The sequence below is a fragment of the Homo sapiens genome, chromosome 1, assembly GCF_000001405.40.
Source record: "Homo sapiens chromosome 1, GRCh38.p14 Primary Assembly".
NCBI classification, from domain to species: domain Eukaryota; kingdom Metazoa; phylum Chordata; class Mammalia; order Primates; family Hominidae; genus Homo; species Homo sapiens.
The window spans coordinates 229,320,501-229,344,031 of record NC_000001.11 but is presented as its reverse complement, the minus strand read 5'-3'; the positions used below and the strand labels follow the sequence as shown (position 1 = coordinate 229,344,031).

Here is a 23,531-nt window from a genome sequence, read left to right as displayed (position 1 = left end):
TTTTTATTTTTTTTGAGACGGAGTCTTGCTCTGTCGCCCAGGCTGGAGTGCAGTGGCGCAATCTAGGCTCACTGCAAGCTCCGCCTCCCGGGTTCACGCCATTCTCCTGCCTCAGGCTCCCGAGTAGCTGGGACTACAGCCGTTCACCACCACGCCGGGCTAATTCTTTTTATTTTTATTTTTTTAGTAGAGATGGGGTTTCACTGTGTTAGCCAGGATGGTCTCGATCTCCTGACCTCGTGAGCCACCCGCCTCGGCCTCCCAAAATGCTGGGATTACAGGCGTGAGCCACAGCGCTCAGCCGGATCTGTGGAGGTTTTATGAGCAAAAAGGGAAAACAGTGCGGGGCCACTTTTGAAACTGTAACAAATGGGGCAACGTTGTATACTTCTGCACAAAGTAACTGGATCTGTGAAGGTTTTATGTGTAAAAAGGGAAAAGAGTGTGGGGCCACTTTTGAAACTGTAACAAATGGGACAACTTTGTATACTTCTGCACAACGTAAGTTAATCTGTCAAGCTTTTATGTGCAAACGAATCTCTGAGCGAGTGAAATGGTTTTGATCAAAATCTAAAAGAATTTGGGGAGTGTAGATATAAAAGGGAGTTAAAGCCAGAGTAACAGGTGTTGTGAACACAGAGAGGAAGAACCGGTAGGTTTCGAGTGAGGACAGAGAGTGTCGCCCCCGGCCGCAGCCTGGGGGGGCTGCATATCTGGAGGGATCATCTCTTGCCCCTAACTGACGACTCCTGCAGAGTGACGCGTGCCTGGGACAGCGTCTGCTGGGACCAGGGTGGACGGGCACCTCAAATAAGTGGGCCAGGGACCTGGGCCTGGGCCCCTCGGACTGGCAGGCACGCCCGCACCCCCGCGCCTCGCGCTCTCTACGGAAGCAGCCGCCCCCACGGAGCGGGCGGAGGCCCGGGGGCCGGGAGCGCGCGTGGAGGCTCCGGGACTGAGGCGGCGCCACCGCCTCCCGCCTGCAGCTGGAGCGCGGGCCGCCGCGGCGACATCTTGCTCAGGAGGAAAGCGCGCGGGAGAGCGAGCTGCGCTTTAGCTGCTGCGCCACGCGCGCCTCGGGCCTGGGCGCAGAGGATCGGCCGGGCGCGGCGGGAAGGAGGTAAGGCAGCCCCGCGGGACCGCACGCCTAGCTCAGGGGACGCCTCCGGAGACCCCAGGACCACCCGATCACGGGCCCCGCCGCTCCCCTCCCTCGCTCCTCCTCCCGCTCAGCCCCAGTCTCCTGCGGTCCCCTCGCCCCAGCCCGCAGCCTCCCTGCCTTCCGCCCACTGAGCAGCCCTCCTCGGCGGCGCGCCCCTCGACCCCAGCAGCCCCGGTCCCCGCCTCTGCTCTTGGTCCCGGCCGCCGGGTGAGGCCGCCCCCGCCCCGCCCCCTCCCCGCCCTCGCCGGGACCCGCCCCCTGCTCCCGTCCGGGCGGGGCTCCGGGTTTAAACGTCGCGGCGGGCAGGGCCGGCGGAGGGGCGGGGCGGCCTCTGTGTCGTGTACCGGGTCCCGTAGGCTGCGGGCAGCGAGGAGCGGCTGGCGCTCGAGGCGGCGGACGGCACCATGTCCCCGGGGAGCGGGGTGAAGAGCGAGTACATGAAGCGCTACCAGGAGCCGCGCTGGGAGGAGTACGGGCCGTGCTACCGCGAGCTGCTGCACTACCGCCTAGGCCGCCGGCTGCTGGAGCAGGCGCACGCGCCCTGGCTCTGGGACGACTGGGGCCCGGCCGGCTCCTCGGAGGACTCGGCGTCGTCAGAGTCGTCGGGCGCCGGGGGCCCCGCACCCCGGTGCGCCCCGCCCTCGCCCCCGCCGCCCGTAGAGCCGGCGACCCAGGAGGAGGCGGAACGGCGGGCGCGCGGGGCCCCGGAGGAGCAGGACGCGGAGGCCGGGGACGCGGAGGCCGAGGACGCGGAGGACGCGGCTCTGCCAGGTACCCGGCCCGGAGGGGAGCGCGAGGGGCCTGCACGCAGGGACGGTTTGCTCTAAGCTCTGAGCAGCTGATCTCTTATTTCTTGCGCCACTCGGGGCTGGCTCTTCCTTTTTTTTTTTTCGGTTGACAGAATCCGTCTCTCTTGACAAAATAGGGAAGGTGGCAGCCTTTGCCACCCTTTATTTCCTTAATTAGGTGGCTTTCGGTCGAGCCAGCGGTGAACTCAATTGAAGCGCCGCTGGCTGAGTCTGGGGTCTTTCCTCGCGGGCCTCTGCGGCTTGGCAAACCTCTGAATCCCATCTTATTTCTTGGCGAACCACTGAGTCCCATCTGCTTATTTCTAGGCGCCCATTTTTGATCAGAGGAGCCCCAGCTTTAATCAGATTCTCAAAGGTAACCCAAAAGGTTAAGAACCACAGAGCTAAGCTTTGTCTGATGAATGGGGCCATTGTTTTCCGTATTAACTCCCCGACCTCGCTACGCTGTCCCTAAAGAATATTTTGCATTTGTTTACGTGGAGTGTTGAATAACTTGGCTGTGAGAGCATCTTTATAAGTGCTAGGGCCTCTCCCCTTCCGTCCCTCCCCATCCTCCCTCGCCTGTCCAGATCCGAAAGCGCCGGTGGCGCTGCGCGTGTTTTCAAGGCATGGCCCCTTCACCTTCTTTCCTGCCCAGAGGCTTGCAGGGCTGGGGACCCAGTTGAACGCCTCAGTACAGCCTGGAGTAACCAATGGTTCCTTCCAGATCACTGGATTTTAAAAAGGCTCGAGTGAGGAAAACATGGAAAATGTATTGGGAGCCTGTTAGACATTCAGTCACTGATCTGGGAATATGTATGTTGTCATTTAATATTCAAAACAATCCCAAAAGAGACCATGTTGTAATCTTTTTTTTTTTTTTTTTTTGAGACGGAGTCTCGCTCTGTGGCCCAGGCTGGAGCGCAGTGGCGCGATCTCGGCTCACTGCAACCTCTGCCTCCCGGATTCACGTCATTCTCCTGCCTCAGCCTCCCGAGTAGCTGGGATTACAGGCACGCGCCACCACGCCCGGCTAATTTTTGTATTTTTAGTGGAGACGGGGTTTCACCATGTTGGTCAGGCTGGTCTCAAACTCCTCACCTCGTGATCCGCCCGCCTCGGCCTCCCAAAGTGTTGGGATTACAGGAGTGAGCCACCATGCCCGGCCCTAATCTCAGTTTTATAGATGAAAAAACGGAAGCTCAGGATCAGTGACTTTATTCATTTATGTGTTTATTTTTGTTTACCCGATTGCAAGCCAATCAGACTCTTCCTGGCTTCTCTGTGAGAGGCTGAGGAGGAGATGAAATTTCGGCTATGAGCCGGGTTGCTTTGCTCTTGGTTTTACCATCTTCAGCTATTTTCAGCTCATCATCGGAGGCAGGGCTGCCTCCTCCCATCATGATGTTACTTGTGAATCCCCACAAATCCTGATGCTTCAGTGATCACTGCTAGAAATGCAAATAACAGAAGGTGGAGGGGGTAGGGAACATGCCTTCCAGATTATTCCTGTGGGTACTGATCTGCTAGCTAAATTGAGATGTACTTTATCAGGCTAAATGGCTTTTCTCTCCCCGATCTTTTATTGTTTGTGATGGAGTTGTCAAATATTTGCATGCAATATAAATACAATTTTTAGGCAGCGTTGTGATATGGATGGTGCCTGTATTTACCAGCTCAGGTAAGCTCTGAGTTCATGATTATTTTGGTTTCCTTAAATATAGCGTCCTCTCAGTTATTTCTTCCCTGCTAACGTTTCTGGTTTAGGCATCAGGAAGAAGAAAGGATGTTTTCTGCTTTCAGGACTCAATCGCAGCATCTTTTGTTTTGCTCCTACCCGTAAGGCCCTCTTGACTCCTGTGTTGCTTGCACAAGATTAAATATCCTGGTTTTTAAGTGGATGGTTTTAAATACTAGTGCAATGAGCACTCTTTTGAGTTTCTATAAAATATAAAATTTTTTACTTTCCCTGAAGCCATAGATGCACATAGAATCACGTAGTTCTGTCTGACTTATTACAAAAGCACATCAGCCCTATGCCATACATAACACCCTGGTTTTTCCTTTGGTATTTATTTCTGTATCTCCAAGTAACATGGCTTTTATTGACATGTGATTGTTTTTTTTCAGTTTTTAACATTATCTATTGACTTTAATTCTTTTTTACTGCTCTCCTCACCCACACACACACGGCCCATCTCCACACCTGCACAATACAGTCCTCATAGAGTTTGTTGGATTCATAATTAGTATGTACCGTATTGTGCCCATGGAAAAAGTTACTCAAAGCTGACCCATACTATTTCCCATGATTCCCTTTTTTCTTTCACAATACAACCAACACATCAGGTTCACTATCACTCTTGTCATCTTAAGATGCCTCTCCCAGGGCCCCTGACCTACTTCTGTCTGGGCTGGCTGCTGCTCCTGTGGGCTGCTGCCTGGCTGGCATCTTGGGAGGGCCCTTGGCCATCCTCCTAGGACCTTTCTTGGCTTCTCTCTTGGGTTTGAGTCTCTGTCGTGTGCCTTTCATGTCATTTTCTTTCTTGGTTTACCCCTTCTTGGTGGAGCACATCTTCTAGTAGATTCCCAAGAAAGGATGGTTCAGAGGTTAGCTTTCTTTGAATGCCAAGAGATAGCTTTATTCTACCCTTACAATTTGGTGAGTGTGGCTGGGCATGGAATTCTAGGTTGGAACAGTTGTCCGTAGAAACTCTGGGGGCATTCCTCCTTATGTGTTATGACTGCTGATGTTACAGCCTGCCTCGTTATGATTCTTGATCTTGATCTTTTGTAGGTAATGTGTTGCCCTCAGGAAGCTTTCACGGTCTTCTCTTTGGCCTTTATGTTCTGACATTTTTCCTTGATCTAGATCTGTTTTCCTTTGCTTTGCTGGGCACTTGGCAGGTCTTTATAGACAAACTCATGTTTTTAATTCCCGGAAGTTTTCTGGAATTATTTTCTTATTTCTGTTTTTTTTTTTTTTCCCATTTCTTTTTTTTCTGAAGTCCTTAGTTGGATATTAGACTTTATCATTTTATCCTCTAATTTTCTAAGTTTTTTCTTGACAGATTTTCATCTTTTATTGTTTTGTTTTCTGGGTGATACTCTCAGCTGTATCTTCTAAATCTCTTATTACATTTTCCATTTGAGGGATCCTATTTTTCTTTTAAATGTAAGAGCTCTTGAATTGTTTTCTGGGCTGCCATTTATTCCCTCCCTTACCTCCCTCCTTTCCGTCCCTTTTTATTTCTTTTTACAACACAGTATCTGGTTCCTGATTGATGCATGTAGGGTTTTATCTTACTGAGGATATATATTAGAATTTTTCGTTTGTTTTCTTCTCTTTCTGTGTTTCTTCAGCACAATCTTTCACTTCTGCCTCTTTGTTTCTTTTTGCTGGTAATTCTCTATTTTCATGTTAGGCACTTTTCTCAAATGTCTAATGATCCTTCGTTTCTCATTCTTATTTAAGGGATGGATACTAAAAAGCTGTTAGGAAATTCTGTGTGTGTGTGTGTGTGTGTGTGTGTGTGTGTGTGTTGGGGTTTGGGGGTGGAAGTGCTTGTGAACCGTGAGATTCTTTTCCTCCCATAGCCAATATGCTATGAAGAGTGGTCTAGACTGTCTCCGATTCCTTACTTCATAGTCACGTTTTCTTTTTAGGTTAGATTTTATTTTTAGCAAAGTTTACATGTGCAGTAATTTAAAACATTTTGCTTAAAATGAAAAAAACATGATCCTGCCCCATTTCCCACCCATGCCCCTTGCTCCTTTCACTCAGTTTCGCTTTCCTTTCAGCATTGGCCACCCTCTTTTTATTTAATCTTATCTGTTGGCTTTTTGATTGTGAACATTATCTACTGACTTCCCATTATGGGAGATGAAGATTTAGCTCAGGATCTTAGCTCTGCCTTCCCTATTCTACCCCCAGACACATACCAACACCCATTTCCTCTTCTCCATATCCCCACAATATTAACTATATGATTGCTTTGTTTAATCTCTGTTCTGTGTTTGAATTATGGCTGTGTAGATATTTGCAGGTGAGCCATGTAATATATTCTGATTACATTTTTTTGTTAAAATTTATGGTTTTCCTGAAATTGATAATTGTTCCACTTTTTTGTTTGCTTATTTTGTTTTTGTTTTTTGCTTCTACTCCAGTAATAGGTTTATTAAAAAATAAGCTACCTATCACTGCCTATCACAGTTTCTTATTTCTTATTTATTTTAGCTATCACTAATGCCTGAAATGGCCTGATAGTACTATGAAACTTGCCATTTGTCAGACATATTAGGTATTCTATTCATCTGATTTTTTTTTTCCCTTGGAGACACGCACACACACATATATATATACATATATATATATGTATGTGTATATATATATATATATATATTTTTTTTTGAGCCTTTGATCTTGTTCCAGTCTAGATTTTATGCTGTCCAGCCTTGGCACAGCTGCTGAACTGGGCTTTCTTTATTATTTCCCTCCTTTGTGTGATCCCCTGCCTTGCACATCTCAAGTCTTCCTTTTGCTTGGCCTGTTCCTTCCTTTTGATGGAACACATCCTCTATAGATCCTGTAAAATATTGCGTGGGAATTAGAAATTTTGTAACCTTGCATATCTGAAAATGCCTTTATTATATCCAGGATTGATATTTTGGCAAGGTAGATTAGTCTAGATTGGAAACCTCAGCATTTGAGGCATTATGATAACACTGAATCCTAGCTTCAGGTCATAGTGTTGAGAAGGACCATGCCATTCTGACACCTGCTTTGTGTGTGTGACCCCCCTATGTTTGTTTTTGTTGTTTTGTTGGAAACTTTTAGGAGATTCTTTATATCTTTTTAGGAGGTGTTCTGAAATTTTGTGGTGTGCCTGTGTGTGTCTTTTTTCATTCATTTGGCTGGCCTTTTTCATTCTGGAAGGTTCTTTCAGTTCAGTGATATTTCCTATTTTTCTGTTTAAAAATAATTTTCTCTGCTCCATATGCTTTATTTTCTCTTTCTATAATTATCCTTAGTTGGATGGTGTGCCTCCTGGATCAGTCCCCTAACATTTTTACTTAAAAATGTTTCTACAATGGAATTTGGACTTTTTGGTTCTATTTTCTGGGAGAACCCTTCAATGTTATTTCCCAACATTTCTATTGAAATTTTTAATTCTCACCTTAGCTTTAAATTCCCAAGAGATCATCTATTTTTGGTCCATAATGTTCTTTACATTAAAAAAAATAGCATTCTGTTTTCAGATTTCTTTTAACCTACAAAGAAAAAAAGAAAAGAAAAGAAAAAGGCCAGAAATATCTTTTCAGAGCTGTCTTCCATTCCCTGCCTTGCCTTTTTCTGCATAATTTTGGTCTCTTCCTTACTAATAGAGGATGTACTCAGATGTTTGCTCTTAGCCTGTCTGCTCATATTTAAGAGTAAGGCCTGGAAGAGCTTTTTAGGAGGTCTGTGCACGGGGGATGCCTGTTTTCTGTAATTGGCTGAGGACCCAGCTGTTCCTCTGGGGACTGCAAACATGTATACCTGCCAGCGTCTCTTGAGTGAGCTGCCCAGACAGTGCATCTGCAGTCTCCTGTCTCATGGGGAATAAGCCTGGCACCAGCATCCTGGGAACAGAGGTGGAGGAAGGTGCCGAGGAGGGGTCTCCTTTACCATGAGGCCTTTCACCTAATTCTGTTTTCAGGAAGCTGTTTCCCTTGGTTTCTCCTGTCCCTAGGGTCATCTGAAGTCCAAGCCTCCCCTGCTTCTGCCGCTCAAGACTGAAATCCACAGACCTTCTGGGTAGGAGAGGAGTGACCACCTGGCATATGAGCTAGGGGAAAGAATATAGAAGTGTCAATTGCTGTGTAACAAAATTACCTTGAAAATTAGTAGCTTAAAACTAGTAAAAACAGTTGTCCCTTGGTATCTGGGAGAGATTGCATCCGAGATACCCCCATGGATACCAAAATCCGTGGATATTCAAGTCCCTATATAAAATGGTGTAGTATTTGCATATAACCTGTGCACATCCCTCGGATACTTTAAATCATCTCTAGATTACTTATAATACCTAATACAATTAAATACTATGTAAATAGTTTTTCTACTATATTTTTAATTTGTATTACTTTTTATTGTTGTATTATTTTTTATTTATTTTTCCCGAATATTTTCAATTCATGGTTGAGTGAGCCTGCAGATGCAGAACCCCTGGATACGGAGGCCCCCAGCCTGCTGTCCTCCTTTGCTGCTGCTCTGGTTTCCTGGGCTGGAAGTTGGCCCTGGGCAGTGAGATACCTTGTCTGCAGCCTGTACTGGAAGGCTCCAGGCTGGAGGGACCCGGCTGGGCTGTTGCTGGGACCCTCACATGCATGACCTCTTCCTGTGCCTGGCCTTCCTCAGAACACACTAGCTGACCTGTAAGGACAGCGTCCGGAGACAGACCCAGGTTGATGCTGCGTTGCTTTTTCTCTTTTATCCTCAGGAGCTCTGCAGGCCCTTTCTCACCCCATTTTACCTTCACTGGGGAAGTTATTACTTGGTGCAATTATTTTGACACCAACCTAATATAAAAGTCTGCCCAGGTTCAAGGGGAGGACCCGTGGATCCCAACTCTCAACAGAGCACGTCCATATTATAGTCAGAAGAGCACGAGGGCTGGGGTGCTGATTGATGCTGAACTTTTGGAAAAGAGAATCCACTTCACTAGCCTTCTGACGAAGCTGGCACCTCATACAACTCTTTCATTTTTTTTTTCTTTCTTTTGAGACAGGGTCTCAGTCTGTTGCCTAGGCTAGAGTGCAATGGCATGATCTAAGCTCTCTGTAGCATTGACCTCCTGGGTTCAAGCAATCCTCCAGCCTCAGCCTCGTGAGTAGCTGGGACCACAGGTGTGCGTCATTATACCTGGCTATTTTTTTATTTTTAATTTTTATTAGAGATGAGGTCTTGCTATGTTGCCTAGCTGGTCTTAAACTCCTGAGCTCAAGCAATCCTCCCGCCTTGTCCTCCCAAAGTGCTGGGATGATAGACGTGAGCCACCACATCTGGCTCATGTGATTCTTTCTAGGGCTCAGCTTCTGTCCTGGAGGCCTTTCCCCTCTGGCAGTTAGGATTCATCCTACTCAGTTCTGTGAGGCCATTTTTACCTCTTCAGTTGCTTTTCTTTTCCTCCAAATTTTATTGATGCCTTTTGCCTGATGTCATCACCTCCCTTGCTCTCTGTCCTTGTGGCTTTATACCTTTTTTTCCTTCCTTTAGTAGGATTTGGAGAGGAAGAGACTATAAGCTTTAAGGAACTATAAGGCACAGGTTTTTAGTGCATATTTAACCTGAACCCTCCAATTTGCTATATTTTTTTAACTGATTTTTATTTTTACTTTCTTCTCTGTTTCTTGATCAGACTTGCCAGAGGTTTGTGAATTTGTTTAGTTTTTCCCCACATTAAAGATTTGTGGTTTCTCTTTATTGTATATTTTCATTAATTTATTATTTTTTCCTTACTTTAATTTTCTTTGGGTTTATTTTGCTTTTTTCTAACTTTTTGAGATGGATGCTTATCATTGATTTTTTTGCCCCCTGCCTTTCTTTTTTGATATGTTCATTTCAGGCTATAAATTTCCCTCTGATAACTGCTTTAGCTGCATCACGCATGTTTTGCCATGTAACATTTTTATTCAAACTCATTTTCAAATTTTCATTATGATTTTTTAAAATAGTCACAAAAATCATAAAATTTAACATTTATGTATAGTATCCACGTAAGGAAATATTTATTTTTTAAAGAAAACATATATTCCAGCCTGGTCAACATGGCAAAACCCCATCTCTACTAAAAATACAAAAATTAGGTGGGTGTGGTGGCGTGCGCCTGTAATCCCAGCTATTTGGGTGGCTGAGGCACAAGAACCACCTGAACCCAGGAGGTGGAGGTCACAGTGAGCTGAGATCGTGCCATTGCACTCCAGCCTGGGTGACAGAGTGAGACTGTTTCTCAAAACAAACAAACAAACAAAAAAACCTAATGCAAACGTTATGCTCAATGAGGAAACTGGAAACATTCCTAATAATATCAGAATTAAGAAAGGAATGCCCTCTATTACCACTACTTGGAATTTTGGAAAATGGTGCTGAAATACATAAAATACACGTTACAATTTTAACCATTTTATTATTTATTTGTTAATTATTATTATTATTTTTTGAGATGGAATCTCACTCTGTCACTCAGGCTGGAGTGCAGTGGCACCATCTTGGCTCATTGCAACCTCTGCCTCCCAGGTTCAAGTGATCCTCCCACCCCAGCCTCCTGAGTAGCTGGGCCCACAGGCATACACAACCATGCCTGGCTAATTTTTTGTATTTTTAGTAGAGACGAGGTTTCCTCATGTTGCCCAGGTTGGTCTTGAACTCCTGAGTTCAGGCTATGCACCCGCCTCAGCTTCCCAAAGTGCTGGGATTACAGGCTTGAGCCACTGCGCCTGGCCTTCTTTAACTGATTTAAAGTGTCCAGTTTGGCTGGGAGCATTTCTAAATAAATAAATAAATGAAGTGTACAGGTCAGTGGCATTAAGTACCTTCACATTTTTGTGCAACCCTGTTTTCACTTTGACCTATAGGTTATTTAGAAATTTTTTTTTTTTTTTTTTTTTTCGATGGAGTCTCGCTCTGTCGCCCAGGCTGGAGTGCAGTGGCGCGATCTCGGCTCACTGCAAGCTCCGCCTCCCGGGTTCACGCCATTCTCCTGCCTCTGCCTCCGGAGTAGCTGGGACTACAGGCACCTGACACCACGCCCGGCTAATTTTTTTGTATTTTTAGTAGAGACGGGGTTTCACCGTGTTACCCAGGATGGTCTCTATCTCCTGACCTCGTGATCTGCCCGCCTTGGCCTCCCAAAGTGCTGGGATTATAGGCGTGAGCCACCGCGCCCGGCCTAGAAATGTTTTTAAGTTTCAAAACTGGGAGGGATTTTTTGAAGTTTTTTTGTTGTATCTAGTTTAATTACATTGTGGTTAGAGAACACATTCTATATAATTTCAATTTTGTAAATATCTTAAGATTTCTTTATGGCCTTGGATATGCAGATTCTTATAAATGTTCCATATATGATTGATAAAAATTTACATTCTGCAGTTGTTGGGTTCAGTGTTCTATATATATCCATTAGGTCAAGTTTATTAATTCTGTTTAAATACATTTGAAAAATCAGATGTTCAGTACAGCTCTCTCTGTGATGATGGGCGTGTTCTCCATTTGCGCTGTCTGCCAGGGTAGCCACTAGCCACATGTGGGTATTGAGCACTTGAACGATAACTAGTGTAACTTGAGGAACTGAATCTTTAATTTTATTTACTTTTAATTAATTAATTAAAATTTATATTTAGTAACCACGTGTGGTTCATGGCTATTGTATTGGACTGGCCAGTTCTAAATTGAGACTGAATTTATTTTTATTTGAATGTTCTGCCAATTACTAAGAAAGGGGCATTGTAATCTTCCACCATAACTGGTGGATAATGCTGTTTTTGCTTGAAGAAGTCTTTATTTTAAACTATTTTTTCAAACAGGATTTTAGAAACATACACTTATTGTTTGGAAAAAACTCTCAAACTCTTTCCTCTGTTGTCACACAACAACAATCAACACAGACTTCTGAAATAGCCCCAAAATATGTGGGGCTATTTTCCCACCAGCAAACAAGCAATCAGTTCCGACACTGTCTGCCTGGAGATAGCATCAGGTCCCACAGGTTGAGGGCTCAGTCTCACAGACTGCCCCCTCCTTCCCACCAGTCGAAAGTCGAGGCCTTGGGAACTTCTGGCTGACCAACTTCAAACTGGGGTTCCCATTATCCCCGTTTAGGTTTGATTAATTTGCTGGAGTGGCTCATAGAACTCAGGGAAACACTTAATGTTTGCCAGTTTATTATAAAGGATACTAGAGGCCGGGCGCAGTGGCTCACGCCTGTAATCCCAGCACTTTGGGAGGCCGAGGCGGGTGGATCACCTGAAGTCAGGAGTTCAAGACCAGTCTGGTCAACATGATGAAACCCCGTCTCTACTAAAAATACAAAAATTAGCCGGGTGTTGTGGCCCACGCCTGTAATCCCAGCTATTTGGGAGGCTGAGGTGAGAGAATTGCTTGAGCCCAGCACACACCTGTAATCCCAGCTATTCGGGAGGCAGAGGTTGCAGTGAGCTGAGATCGCGCCATTGCACTCCAGCCTGGGCAACAGAGCAACATTCTGTCTCAAAATAATAATAATAATAATAATAATAATAATAATAATAATAATAAAAGGATATTAGAAAGGACACAGATGAAGAGATGAACAGGGTGAGATATGGGGAAAGGGGTGAGAAGCTTCCATGCTGTCTCGCCGGCCTCCAGGAACCTCCTGAGCTTAGCTACAATTGGAAGGTGTGGAAGATTAGAGTCCTGCCTAGTGGCAGGGGAAAGGAGAGCAGGAGAGATTCGGTTTCTGGGGGCCTGCCCCTGAGGTTTAACACACCCAACATTATAACAAAAGACTGGAACAGGGGCTATGGGAGTTAGGAGCCACGAACTATGGACAAAAACGAACACACACAGAGACACACACATGTATATAATACCACACTTATATACACTTCTCTTGTGCCAGCCACTATTTCAAGAGTTTTACAAAAGAGTTTTATAAATATTAATGTTACGGTGATGAGTTTTACCTTTTCTGTATTTTCCATCTTTTCTCTCCTCCTGTTGCAGATAATTCTTCTGTCTTTTTCTATAAGCACAGCTATTTTGTAGTCTGAATAAGACTCCTTGGATTTCAGGCCTTTTGCTTCTCCCGGTCCCCCTTGTTGCCTACCCTCCTGTGTGCCGGTTATCTTTACAACACACTGGTCTTTGTGTTGGAAAAGCTATTTCTAGGAATAATTTGAGGTCTAAGGGTTTCCTGAGAAGATTTTAGTTTTTGTGTTGGGTACCTGATAGACATTTGTTAGCCTGGGGTCACTTTTGAATTTCATTTAGCTTTTCCAGGTCATCCTTAGTGGGGAGGGTGAGTCCAGTAGCCCCCAAGAACCAGGATGGGTAGGCTCCACTCTGTTCAGTCCTCAGCCAGCTGGGGTCTGGTTCCCCCACCCCACACCTCCCCTCTGGCACCAGTGACCACCGAGCTGCCAAGGCAAAGTCTCTTCATCTTTATTGTACCAATCTCTCTGTAATTTTTGGACTGTTAATTGCATTTTCTTTTTTTTTTTTTTTTTTAGATGGAGTTGCCCAGGCTGGAGTGCAGTGGCACGATCTCGGCTCACTGCAAGCTCCGCCTCCCGGGTTCACACTATTCTCCTGCCTCAGCCTCCCAAGTAGCTGGGACTACAGGCGCCTGCCACCACGCCCGGCTAATTAGTTTTTGTATTTTTACTAGAGACGAGGTTTCACCGTGTTAGCCAGGATGGTCTAGATCTCCTGACCTCGTGATCCGCCCGCCTCGGCCTCCCAAAGTGCTGGGATTATAGGCGTGAGCCACCGCGCCCGGCCTGCACTTTCTTTTTCTGAAACTCTTTGCTCAGCCTCTTTCCTGGTTATTCTTTTTTACTCTTTTGCTACCCTTCCTCTGCTCCCATCTCGGGTTCTCCTTTCTTTGCCTGTGCATTAAATGACGGTGTCCCCGGGCCTGTTTGCACCTCCTGTCTTCCGGCTCTGTGTTTCTTCTGGGTGACTTGGTCCACACCAGGAGCCGTGGCTTTCATCTCCATGCCATCTTCTCTCCTGAGCTCCAGTTGAAGGTCTGGCTGCCGGGACCAGGAGTGTCTTGCATCCAACGTGACAAGCACCCTTTCCTCATCCTTTAGGGGGCCTATGTCAGAGGACAGCATGACCATCCACTCAGAACACCTGCAGGAGCCACAGAACCGAGCGCCCACATGGTCCTTCCTGGTGTCCTCATGGTGTCTGTCTGTCTGTCCACCTGTCAGTCTGATGCAGTGTTGCTGGGCTGTCTGCTCTGGAGGGTCCTTGTTGTCTGTCCACCTGTCAGTCTGATGCAGTGTTGCTGGGCTGTCTGCTTTGGAGGGTCCTTGTTTTTATTTATTTATTATTATTTTTTTGAGATGGAGTTTTGCTCTTGTTGCCCAGGGTGGAGTGCAATGGTGCAATCTCGGCTCACTGCAACCACCGCCTCCTGGGTTCAAGCGATTCTCCTGCCTCAGCCTACCAAATAGGTGAGATCACAGGCGTGTACCACCATGTCTGGCTAATTTTTGTACTTTTAGTAGAGACAGGGCTTTACCATATTGGTCAGGCTGGTCTCAAACTCCAGACCTCAGGTGATCCACCCTCGTTGGCCTCCCAAAGTGCTGGGATTACAGGGTTGAGCCACCGTACCTGGCTGGAGGGGCCTTGTTAAAAAAACATCCTGGCACCACCTCCCAGCTGGTCTGATCGGTGTGTTTTTCTAACTGGCCTCTCTGCCCCTATTTCTGATCTCACCCATCTTCCACGTGTGGAGCTAGGGGCCTCATTCCTAAAATACAAATAGGACCATGTTAGTTTTCAGCTTAATGTCCTCCCATGATGATTCTTCATCTCCAAGATAAAATAAAAATGCCTGAGTTTGGCATATATAAAATAAAGCCTTTATTTCCCCCACACTATCTACCCCAGGCCTTCATCCATAGACTCTATGTTCTTGCTATTTTGAACTATTTATAATTCCCTCTTTCTTCTTCTCTCCATGCCATTGAAGAAGCCATTCCCTCTTTCTGGAATTCTCTTTCCTGTTCTCTGCCTGGCTAGCCCCAGATTGTCCTATCAATGAAATCCTTATTGCCTTCTATGGGCAGGCTTCTCTGGGAGATCTGGGCTAGACATGCCTGGAACAGGAGGAAGAGAGGGGAAGTGAATCAGTGAAGATGACTTGGGTGGCTGCTTTTTTCTCTCTCTCAGTATCACTGTGCCACTGCACAGGTTCTTGCACTTCCCCACTTCTCTTTCCCTTTAGTCTTGGTCCTGATGATCTCTTCTTTCCTCCTCTTCTTAAACACCAGGGAAGAGGAGGAGAAAGCGTGTGGACACATCACTCAGATAAACGTTTGAGCAGTGAATGGATATCGTCTCATGAAATGGAAGGCTGGTGTCCTGCCTCATCCCCAGCAACTCCAGTGCTGGGTTTAAAGAGATGATGCACTCCAATGCAGAACATGACACCCGGATTCAGACATGAAGCGTCTGTTCCTTCAAATGCTTAGTAATAAATGTAATGGTTTGCTAGAGTCAAGGTCATCACTGAAGGCAGACGTGGCAGATGACCTATAAAGGTTTCTTACAAGTATGTGCCAGTTTGCATGCACTGCCCATGCAGCGGTTCCCTCAACTTTAAAGGGAAGTAGAAATAGACAAGAGTCACAACTGAAAGTAATGGCAAAATTCTGTCCTACAGAGGTGATAAGACCTTATATAGATTGTAATAGCAATCTATAAAATCATCACTGATGGCTGGGTGCAGTGGCTCAGGCCTGTAATCCCAGCACTTTGGGAGGCCGAGGCAGGAGGATTGTTTGAGGCCAGGAGTTTAAGACCAGCCTGATCAACATAGCAAGAACCCATCTCTACAAAAAAAATTTTTTTGTAAATTGCCTGGGCATGGTGATGCACTCCTGTAGTCCCACCTCCCTAGGAGGCTGAGGTGGGAGGATCACTTGAGCCCAGGAGGTTGAGGCTGCAATAAGCCATGATCGCACCACTGCACTCCAGCCTGGGCAACAAGTGAGACCCTGTCTCTAAAAAATGAAACAAAAAAAATAAAATCATGACTGAGAGCAAAACTCTGGAGCATCTGAAACAAAGGGTCTCCTGTGGCCTAAACAACTGGGGCACCTCAGGTGGAGCCCCAGACCCGTCACGAACTCTTACTTCAGCAGAACCATAGGTGGAAGCAAACACAGGCTCACAAAGTGTTTATACTGAATCGTACTGATTTCATAAAAAGAAAGGCTTACAAAATAATAAACAGGAAAATCATAAAAGGTAATTCAGTGGAATAGATATTTTTTGGAGTACATCCTTGCTATCTGAGGTTCCCCTTAGGTGGGGCAGCCACATTCACCACCGGGGGTTCCCCAGAATTTAGGGCTGTGGTACAGACCCAGGCCTGATTTCATGGGGTAATTTCCGTTGCAAGTGTTGGGGAAGCCCCTTAAAACTGGGGCCCTCTTTTTTTTTTTTTTTTTTTTGAGACGGAGTCTTTCTCTGTCACCAGGCTGGAGTGCAGTGGCGCAATCTGGGCTCACTGCAACCTCCACCTCCCAGGTTCAAGCGATTCCCCTGCCTCAGTCTCCCGAGTAGCTGGGACTACAGGCATGCACCACCATGCCTAATTTTTTTTTTTGTATTTTAGTAGAGACGGGGTTTCACCATGTTGGCCAGGATGGTCTCGATCTCCTGACCTCGTGATCCGCTCGCCTCGGCCTCCCAAAGTGCTGGGATTACAGGTGTGAGCCACCGCACCCGGCCGGGGCCCTCATTTTTAACTCTTCCCACAGGGAATGCCTGGCTGCGCACCTAGGCGGTAACGATGGAAATCACTCCCTGTTGTGCGGAGGGGCTTTTGAATGAAGGAAGCGGCTCTCAGGAGGAGCACGGAAGGACTAAGGAGCATTTTCGGGTGGAGTAACTCAAACAGCAACCTCCTGCAGCTGCTGGAGGATGACCACAAATCCAGATCTTTCCGTGAAGGAAAGCAAAATTGAGATGATTGGATTTATCTTGGGGGATTGCGGAGAAAGCCCTTAGGGTGTGGTGCTGTCTATCTTTTAACATTCCAGATGCTAAGTCTCAGAATCGGAGTAGCAGTGGTTGCTTTTGAATAAGCTTGGTTCAATCTTGGTATATTTGTTGTTGATTTTAAAATGAGATAAATGGTTTGAAAATTATGCTAACTTGTTCCTGTATTTCTACTTTAAGTGGATCGTATGAGTTGAGCCATAAGTGAAAATGTTACTGTCTTAAGCATTATGATTTTTCAACATAAATATTTTAATTATATATAAATCTGATTTCAAAGTATTTTCATCTCATTTATCTCTTTTCAAAAGCACTGCCAGTGAAAGATGTAGAAGATAAACCTGAACAACAAACCAGAACAAGAGAGACTGACAAATCACCCACCAGTACTGAGCCTCGACAGCAACCAAGTGCCTTATTTGCTAGAGGAAACAGGAAAGCGGTCAAAAGTCCCCAAAGATCATCGAGTAAAATAAAAGAAAACAAGCATCCATTTGCTCTTTATGGCTGGGGAGAAAAACAGACCGATACAGGAAGCCAGAAGACTCACAACGTCTGTGCGTCCGCTCCTGTGCACGAGGTGCGCTCTGGGCCCTTGTGGTTCTGTGTTCCCTTTGAGAGTGGCCAGCTGGGCCATGCGCCTGTCATCGGGCATCGTGTCCTTTGGCCACTGGGTGCTTTGGGCCCATGGGAGATCTTAGGGGATAGCATGGTGGGTTGGGGAACTCCAGAATGGAGCCTCTGATGAACCAAAGGAGGATTCTGCATGTTGGTGGCCTGCAGAGCGAGGGGTTTTGGCTTGGAGTTACCCAGAAGAGTTTAGTGACACCAAGCCAGGCAAAGATGTAGATGGAGTTGGGGTTCACAAGTTCCTGGGGGGCCGGAAGGTTAGGAGGAGCAGCACAGCCAAGGCTGGCGACGGCCCATCTGGATTTGCCACTGGTCTCTTGAGCTGTTTCAGCTTCCTTCAGCTTCGATAACCTGGCGCTTCTTTATCTTTGGTTTGTCTGATTGATTGATTGCTTGGCATCTGCCAGAGACTCCCTTTTGTTCCTCTGATTAAATTCAAATGGCTGCATTTCCCCTGTTCATCCATAACAAATGCATTTTACTCTCAGGAGCTTTAGTCCTCCCCTGACTTAGCCTTAGCTTGTCTCTCCTGTGTCAAGACCCGGAAACATTTCAGATGAGAGGACCTTCATGTGTGTAGTCAGAAAACATGTATGTTAGCGTTAATACTGTTATGATAGCCTAAAGCAAAGGCTGCGTTTAAGGAAGCAGAAAGTGAAACTGCAAACTGCTTGAGTTCTAGATAAACAGCATAATGAAAATTTCACTGAACAGACATCTGAACCCTAGCAAATGGTGTTATTTGGAGTGATATTTGAGACAACAAAGCTGCCGTTTAACAAAAGATCTCTAAGAAGTCCGTGGGATTAATTTTAACAGGATTTATCTGTAGTATAAGACATCTTAGGTGGTAAAATCTCGAGATGTCTTTGGTATACTGATGTTAAACATTTAAAGTTCTTTTATTTTCCCTGCTTTTTATGAGCTGTTTATAAGTCGTTAATTAAATACTTATGTTTAATGCTAAGCAGTTCGGACAGTTTTCCAGAGCCAACTCTAGAGGCACATGCAAATTAGTTGCTTACCATTTCTGTCTAACATTTAATTTGCTGTTGCTTAGTTTCATTATCCCTGATATGAATCAAGTGAGAACAGCATCAAGTGAGAATGGCTCTTCTGTGGAAGGTTTTATGTAAAGAAGAACTATATAGAGAGGCAGGGCTTGACTCTGCCCTGCTGCAGTTGACCTGGCAGTAGCCAGCTTCATTGCAACCTCTGTTGAACATTAGTATAATAGCCCCTTAAGTTACTATCCTTTATTTTGAACTCTCTTTAGATTCATGAATCAGCATTACGAGCCAAGAACAGAAGACAGGTGGAAAAAAGGAAACTGGTTGCTCAAAGGCAGCGAGCTCACTCTGTGGATGTGGAGAAGAACAGAAAGATGAAGGCTTCCTCCTCAGAGAACCCGTGGATGACAGAATACATGAGGTGCTATTCGGCAAGAGCTTAAAGAAACACTTGCGTGGACAGCCTCTTTTAAAAAGTGTAAATGACTGAAAGGAAAAACAAAACAAAAACCATCAAAAGAAACGGACACAGGTTTAAGAAACCAACTGATTATGCAAGGTTTTTTTTAGGGAATTTGTAAAAGATTGTTTTATTTTGATGAATATTGGTCACCTACCTCGGCAGTAGGGCAGACAGTTGAAGCCATAGACATTTGGTTATTTATGAAGATAATTCCCTAAATCTTTGATATTCTTATAAGGTTTTTGTTTTAAAGCATCTTAATCTTTTAAGATACTGACACCAAATGCCTTTAAATGGCAACAGATGCTTACAGTTCAGTATTCTTTTCATAAGCTTAGGTAGAGCCTATTATCATCTTGTTCTAAATAACTTTCCAGATTCCATAGCTATAAGATCATTCCATCCTACAGCATAAGACTCGTTTTCCTTATATGCCGTTTTGTTTGTGAAAGAATATCAAGTCAAAAATGAGTGTCAGCACTACTACTGATTCCATGTATAATGAAAGTAGAACTTTGCTAGTTCCTGAAAATTTTTAACTTATTTGTATTTCAGTTCAGCAGCATCTTTATGTAGATTGTGATATTTAAGAATTATCTGGGCTGGGCGAGGGTCTCTTTTTCTCTTTCAGTGATCATCTAGGCAGTTATTATTTAATAGTTTAATAGCTCAAGTACATTCCAATAGACGAAGTGCACACAACACAATATGTGTGTACAGTAGTAGTAAAGTTTCTTTTGAGTAGTCAAAGACTCACTTTTTTTATTGCCTTTTTTTTTTTTTTTAAAGAATACATACTGTGGATTCAGTCCCTTGTCACACTTGACCTTTTGGCATACACCCACTGTGGACTTTTGCCTCTTCTGTAATGGCTGGCAATGACATTTCAAACTTACAATCTGGAATTGCACTTGGTACATTGGCATTGCTTGTTCCACTGGGATGGGGACCAGTGTGAAGATGCCTGTTAGATAGACTGCCCACCCCTACTTTCTCTTTTTCTTTATAGCACTTAACAATAACAAAGTCTTGATGATGTACAGTATTCAAACTTTAGGTTGAAATACGTTACTCTTTGATTCCTAGCCAGTAGATCTTATCTACACTTTAATGGGAGAGAATGGTGGTGTGTGGGTAGGCACAAATTTATGTAAATAGTGCTCCTTCTCTTTAGTATGTTTGCTTTGGGGGTAGAAAAATGGTTTTAACAAACACTGGTTTCCATCAAATGAATGATGTCTTCTCCATCCTGTGGAGACAAGAATCTGCTAGAAGGATATGTGCTAAGTTCCTTATAAGAGATAATGGTGCTCTGCCTATGCCAGCTTGGCACCCGAAGATGTGTGAGTGGACGTGAGGCTGAGTATTACCTTAGTATTTTTCTCTGGGTCTTTGGAAAACCATAGTCAATTTTTAGAACATATTGCTTTCATTCCCCATAAACTCTTCACACATGATAACTGTTTAAGCTTTGAAAACACATACTGAAGTATTGTGAGCTTAAAAAAACTTTTTAAATATTTGCATAGTTTTGAGGTGAATTTGTTTCCTTACAGATCTCTCCTAATCATTGAGATGTATATTTCAAAAGAGGAAATTTTACATGTTGTCCAAAACAGCCTTGCTAGTAACTGGTGAATTTTGGTATTAACTATTATTAAAGTCTTTAAACGACACAGGTACCTAAAGATCACCTTAATGTGGCAATTTGTGATGGTGTAGCTAGCTGATTGTGAAAACTGTTCCTTTAAAGTCGCTTCTTGCATGTTCGGTGTTAGTCATCCAGCTCAGGCTTGTGTTGCAGCTGACAATCTAGGAAAGACGGCCTTAGAGAGTGGTGCAGGCCCCACACTGACGGACTGCCTTAGAAACCCGACTTCCTCTAGACTTTGAACCGCCAGACTTTTCTCTTGTTTAGAAAACAAACTTATATTTAATGTACTTACTACTTAAAACTCCAGACAGAGATATAATGTAGAAGGCAAATATTGGCCAATTTTTTCCTCTTTTTAAGTGGAAGACAAATGAACGGGATTTTTAAAGTGCTTTTAAAGTGCATGAATGGTTAATAAATCAGTATGAATTGTAAGCCTTCATCTTACATCCAAGTCCTTAGTTGGTTAGGGTTTCTTTTCTTTCTTTTTTAAAGAGTGTCAATTACCTTTTGAACCTGTGAAAATTTGATAGTTGTTAACAGTCTGATGGTCCTAATTCTTTCTTTTCATTCTAGAAATGAATGTGGTTGTAATCATGTTCCTAATTCTTGGGACAACCTGCAAGACAGTGAGACAGTTTAAAAATTACCTTTCATGTTGAAAAAGTCTGAAACAGAGAACCCAATGATATTTAAAATAAATGCTACATAAAACTCTTTTTAAAATTTTGATTTTAACTTAATTAAAACAATGTCATAAATATGCTTTTTGATTTTGTTACTGCTTTTAATATTAAAGTAATAGAATATTGAAGCAATATTGTCTAGCACTCTGCTGGACATTAAGTCCGCGGGAGGAGAAGTGAACAGGAATCGATTCTTTGTCTTTTAACTGCCCTTAGTTAGGAGATGTTAAAATACTTGGCACCTCTGGTTATATGTATGTTATGTGTGTTCTCCCCCCTAAAATTTCTAAGCACATTTATTCACTTTTAAAATGAATCTTTAAAAGATTATAGTTAGTAGTTATAGTTAATATTCTATTTACTTGGAAAAATGTGAATAAATGGATCTTCAAAAGATTCATTTTAAAAATGAATAAATGTATAATAGGCTATAGGTGATCTTACTTGCGTATTAGGTAGGAGGCACATATTTATACCATTTCATATGTAATATCTTTGTCATTGTGTTTCATCGAAGATCAATTGCTAGCAACTTGAAGGGTATTTATACTTGGGTCACTTGAACTCAGCTGACTAAATTGTAAGAACGAGAGCAAGCAAGATGGCTGTTATTGGAAGCCATAACTTCCAGAAGATAATTCTGCACAATTCGTAAGTTAAAAAAAATCTGTAGGGTCTTCCACTATCCTTTTTCAGGTTGATAATGCTGTTCTGGGCACACACTTTGTAAATGGAATGTTATGGTACAGTCGCCTCTCAGTATCCATGGGGCATTGGTTCCAGGCCTCCCTTAGGATGCCAAACTCCATGGATACTCAAACCCCTTCTATAAAATGGTGTAGTATTTGCATATATCCTAGACACATCCTCCTGTATGCTTTAAATCATCTCTAGATTACTTAAAATACCTAATACAATGTAAATGCTCTGTAAATAGTTGTTATACTATATTGTTTAGGGAATAATGACAAGGAAAAAAAAGCCTGTACATGTTCAGCACAAGTGAAACCATCCTTTTTGCCCCCAAATATTTTCAATTTGTATTTGGTTGAATCCATGGATGCAGAACTCACGGATACAGAGGGCCGACTGTACTTTCTTTAAAGTGTTCAAAAGTATTACTAGCAAAGAGGAGGAGGAGCAAAGCATATATCAGAAGTAAAACAATTTTTCTTGTTGACTGCTTTGGTAAAAAACAGTTTGATGGATAGTTTTACATTTCACTGGACTAGATAAAAAATGGTGCTAATATTTATGTAGCTTGATGCTATAGTTGCTTTGGTATCAAACTTAATACCTAACCCATATAAGATCCTTATTATATAATTTTGTGATCAGTAAAATGATATTTTAAAGAGTGATCTTAAAAATATGACCTGGTCATTGCACAACGTTTGCATTTGAAATGAATTTTTGTACTATAGGGTGGATATGGAGTTATTCAGTGCAAGTGTGTGCTTAATATCAAACCCTATGCAAGGAGCTATGTCTAGATTTTTGGTCCAAATTTGCCTCCTTCAAGCCTACTAGTGTGAGATGGAAAAAAATCGATTGCTCTTTTAATATTATTTCCATTTTGAAATTCTCGACACTTGAATGAAGGCAGTAGAGGCCTCTTTTTGGATTTCTCTTCTAATAACAAAACTTTATTTAGGGAAGGTTTCCCTGTGCTATCGTAAGTTTGTTTTGAGCACTGCATTCACTTTAAAATTCTGGAGGAACAAAGGCTGGGCACATAATCACAAAGCCCAGGCCACACAATAATTCGGGGTTGTATTTTCTAAGAACTATGTATTGTTTTTAGCTTATAGTTAATATTGTATTTACTTGGAAAAATGTGAATAAAGTTAATTAACATTACAAGCTGAGACTCTTTTGTGAGAAGTAATTCTGCTTAGTACATAAATGACTTGAAGAAAATGTATGATCATATTGACTCCTAAATGGATTTTTCAGTAGATAAATGTTTAACAAGACACATTAGTTATGTCCGGGAAAAGATAAATAGTGTATATACACTTTGAGTTGAGCTATAATTTTTCCCAGTCTTTTCCATCACATCTTCTTATGGTTTTGAAAGTTACAAAAGTAATAGTGCATGGTTAAAATAACTCAAAAAGAAGTATAGAGTTGGCTGGGTGTGGTGGCTCACGCCTGGAATCCCAGCACTTTGGGAGGCCGAGGCAGGCAGATCACTTGAGGTCAGGAGTTTGTGACCAGCCTGGCCAATATGGTTAAACCCCGTCTTTACTAAAAATACAAAAATTAGCCGGGTGTGATGGCACGTGCCTGTAATCCCAGTTACTCGGGAGGCTGAGGCAGGAGAATCGCTTGAACCCGGAAGGCAGAGGTTGCAGTGAGCCGAGATCATGCC

General features: G+C 43.7%; 1 protein-coding gene across 2 annotated transcripts, besides 3 other annotated features; it reads left to right on the top strand.

The window, feature by feature from the left end:
- Positions 677-1,536: a silencer, noted in NCBI's record as "silent region_1928". NCBI's record gives its function as "represses an Ori minimal core promoter by ATAC-STARR-seq in GM12878 lymphoblastoid cells {active_cell/tissue: GM12878}" and the evidence as "EXISTENCE:reporter gene assay evidence [ECO:0000049][PMID:35858748]".
- Positions 985-23,017, top strand: CCSAP (centriole, cilia and spindle associated protein). Of its 2 annotated transcripts, NM_145257.5 has the most exons (4): positions 985-1,120; positions 1,519-1,933; positions 17,026-17,294; positions 18,621-23,017. In NM_145257.5, exons 2-4 carry the CDS (start codon positions 1,567-1,569, stop codon positions 18,795-18,797), a joined length of 813 nt encoding a protein of 270 aa, NP_660300.3. In that variant the 5' UTR covers positions 985-1,120; positions 1,519-1,566; the 3' UTR covers positions 18,798-23,017. The 2 variants fall into 2 exon arrangements, with proteins under 2 accessions (NP_660300.3, NP_001397865.1); NM_001410936.1 differs by lacking the exons at positions 985-1,120; positions 1,519-1,933 and adding an exon at positions 3,250-3,631.
- Positions 1,737-1,936: a silencer, noted in NCBI's record as "silent region_1927". NCBI's record gives its function as "represses an Ori minimal core promoter by ATAC-STARR-seq in GM12878 lymphoblastoid cells {active_cell/tissue: GM12878}" and the evidence as "EXISTENCE:reporter gene assay evidence [ECO:0000049][PMID:35858748]".
- Positions 8,281-8,790: an enhancer, noted in NCBI's record as "H3K4me1 hESC enhancer chr1:229470989-229471498 (GRCh37/hg19 assembly coordinates)". NCBI's record gives its function as "activates a minimal SCP1, AML or CMV promoter by ChIP-STARR-seq in naive H9 embryonic stem cells {active_cell/tissue: H9 hESC(naive)}" and the evidence as "EXISTENCE:reporter gene assay evidence [ECO:0000049][PMID:30033119]".
- Positions 23,018-23,531: the final 514 nt, after the last annotated feature.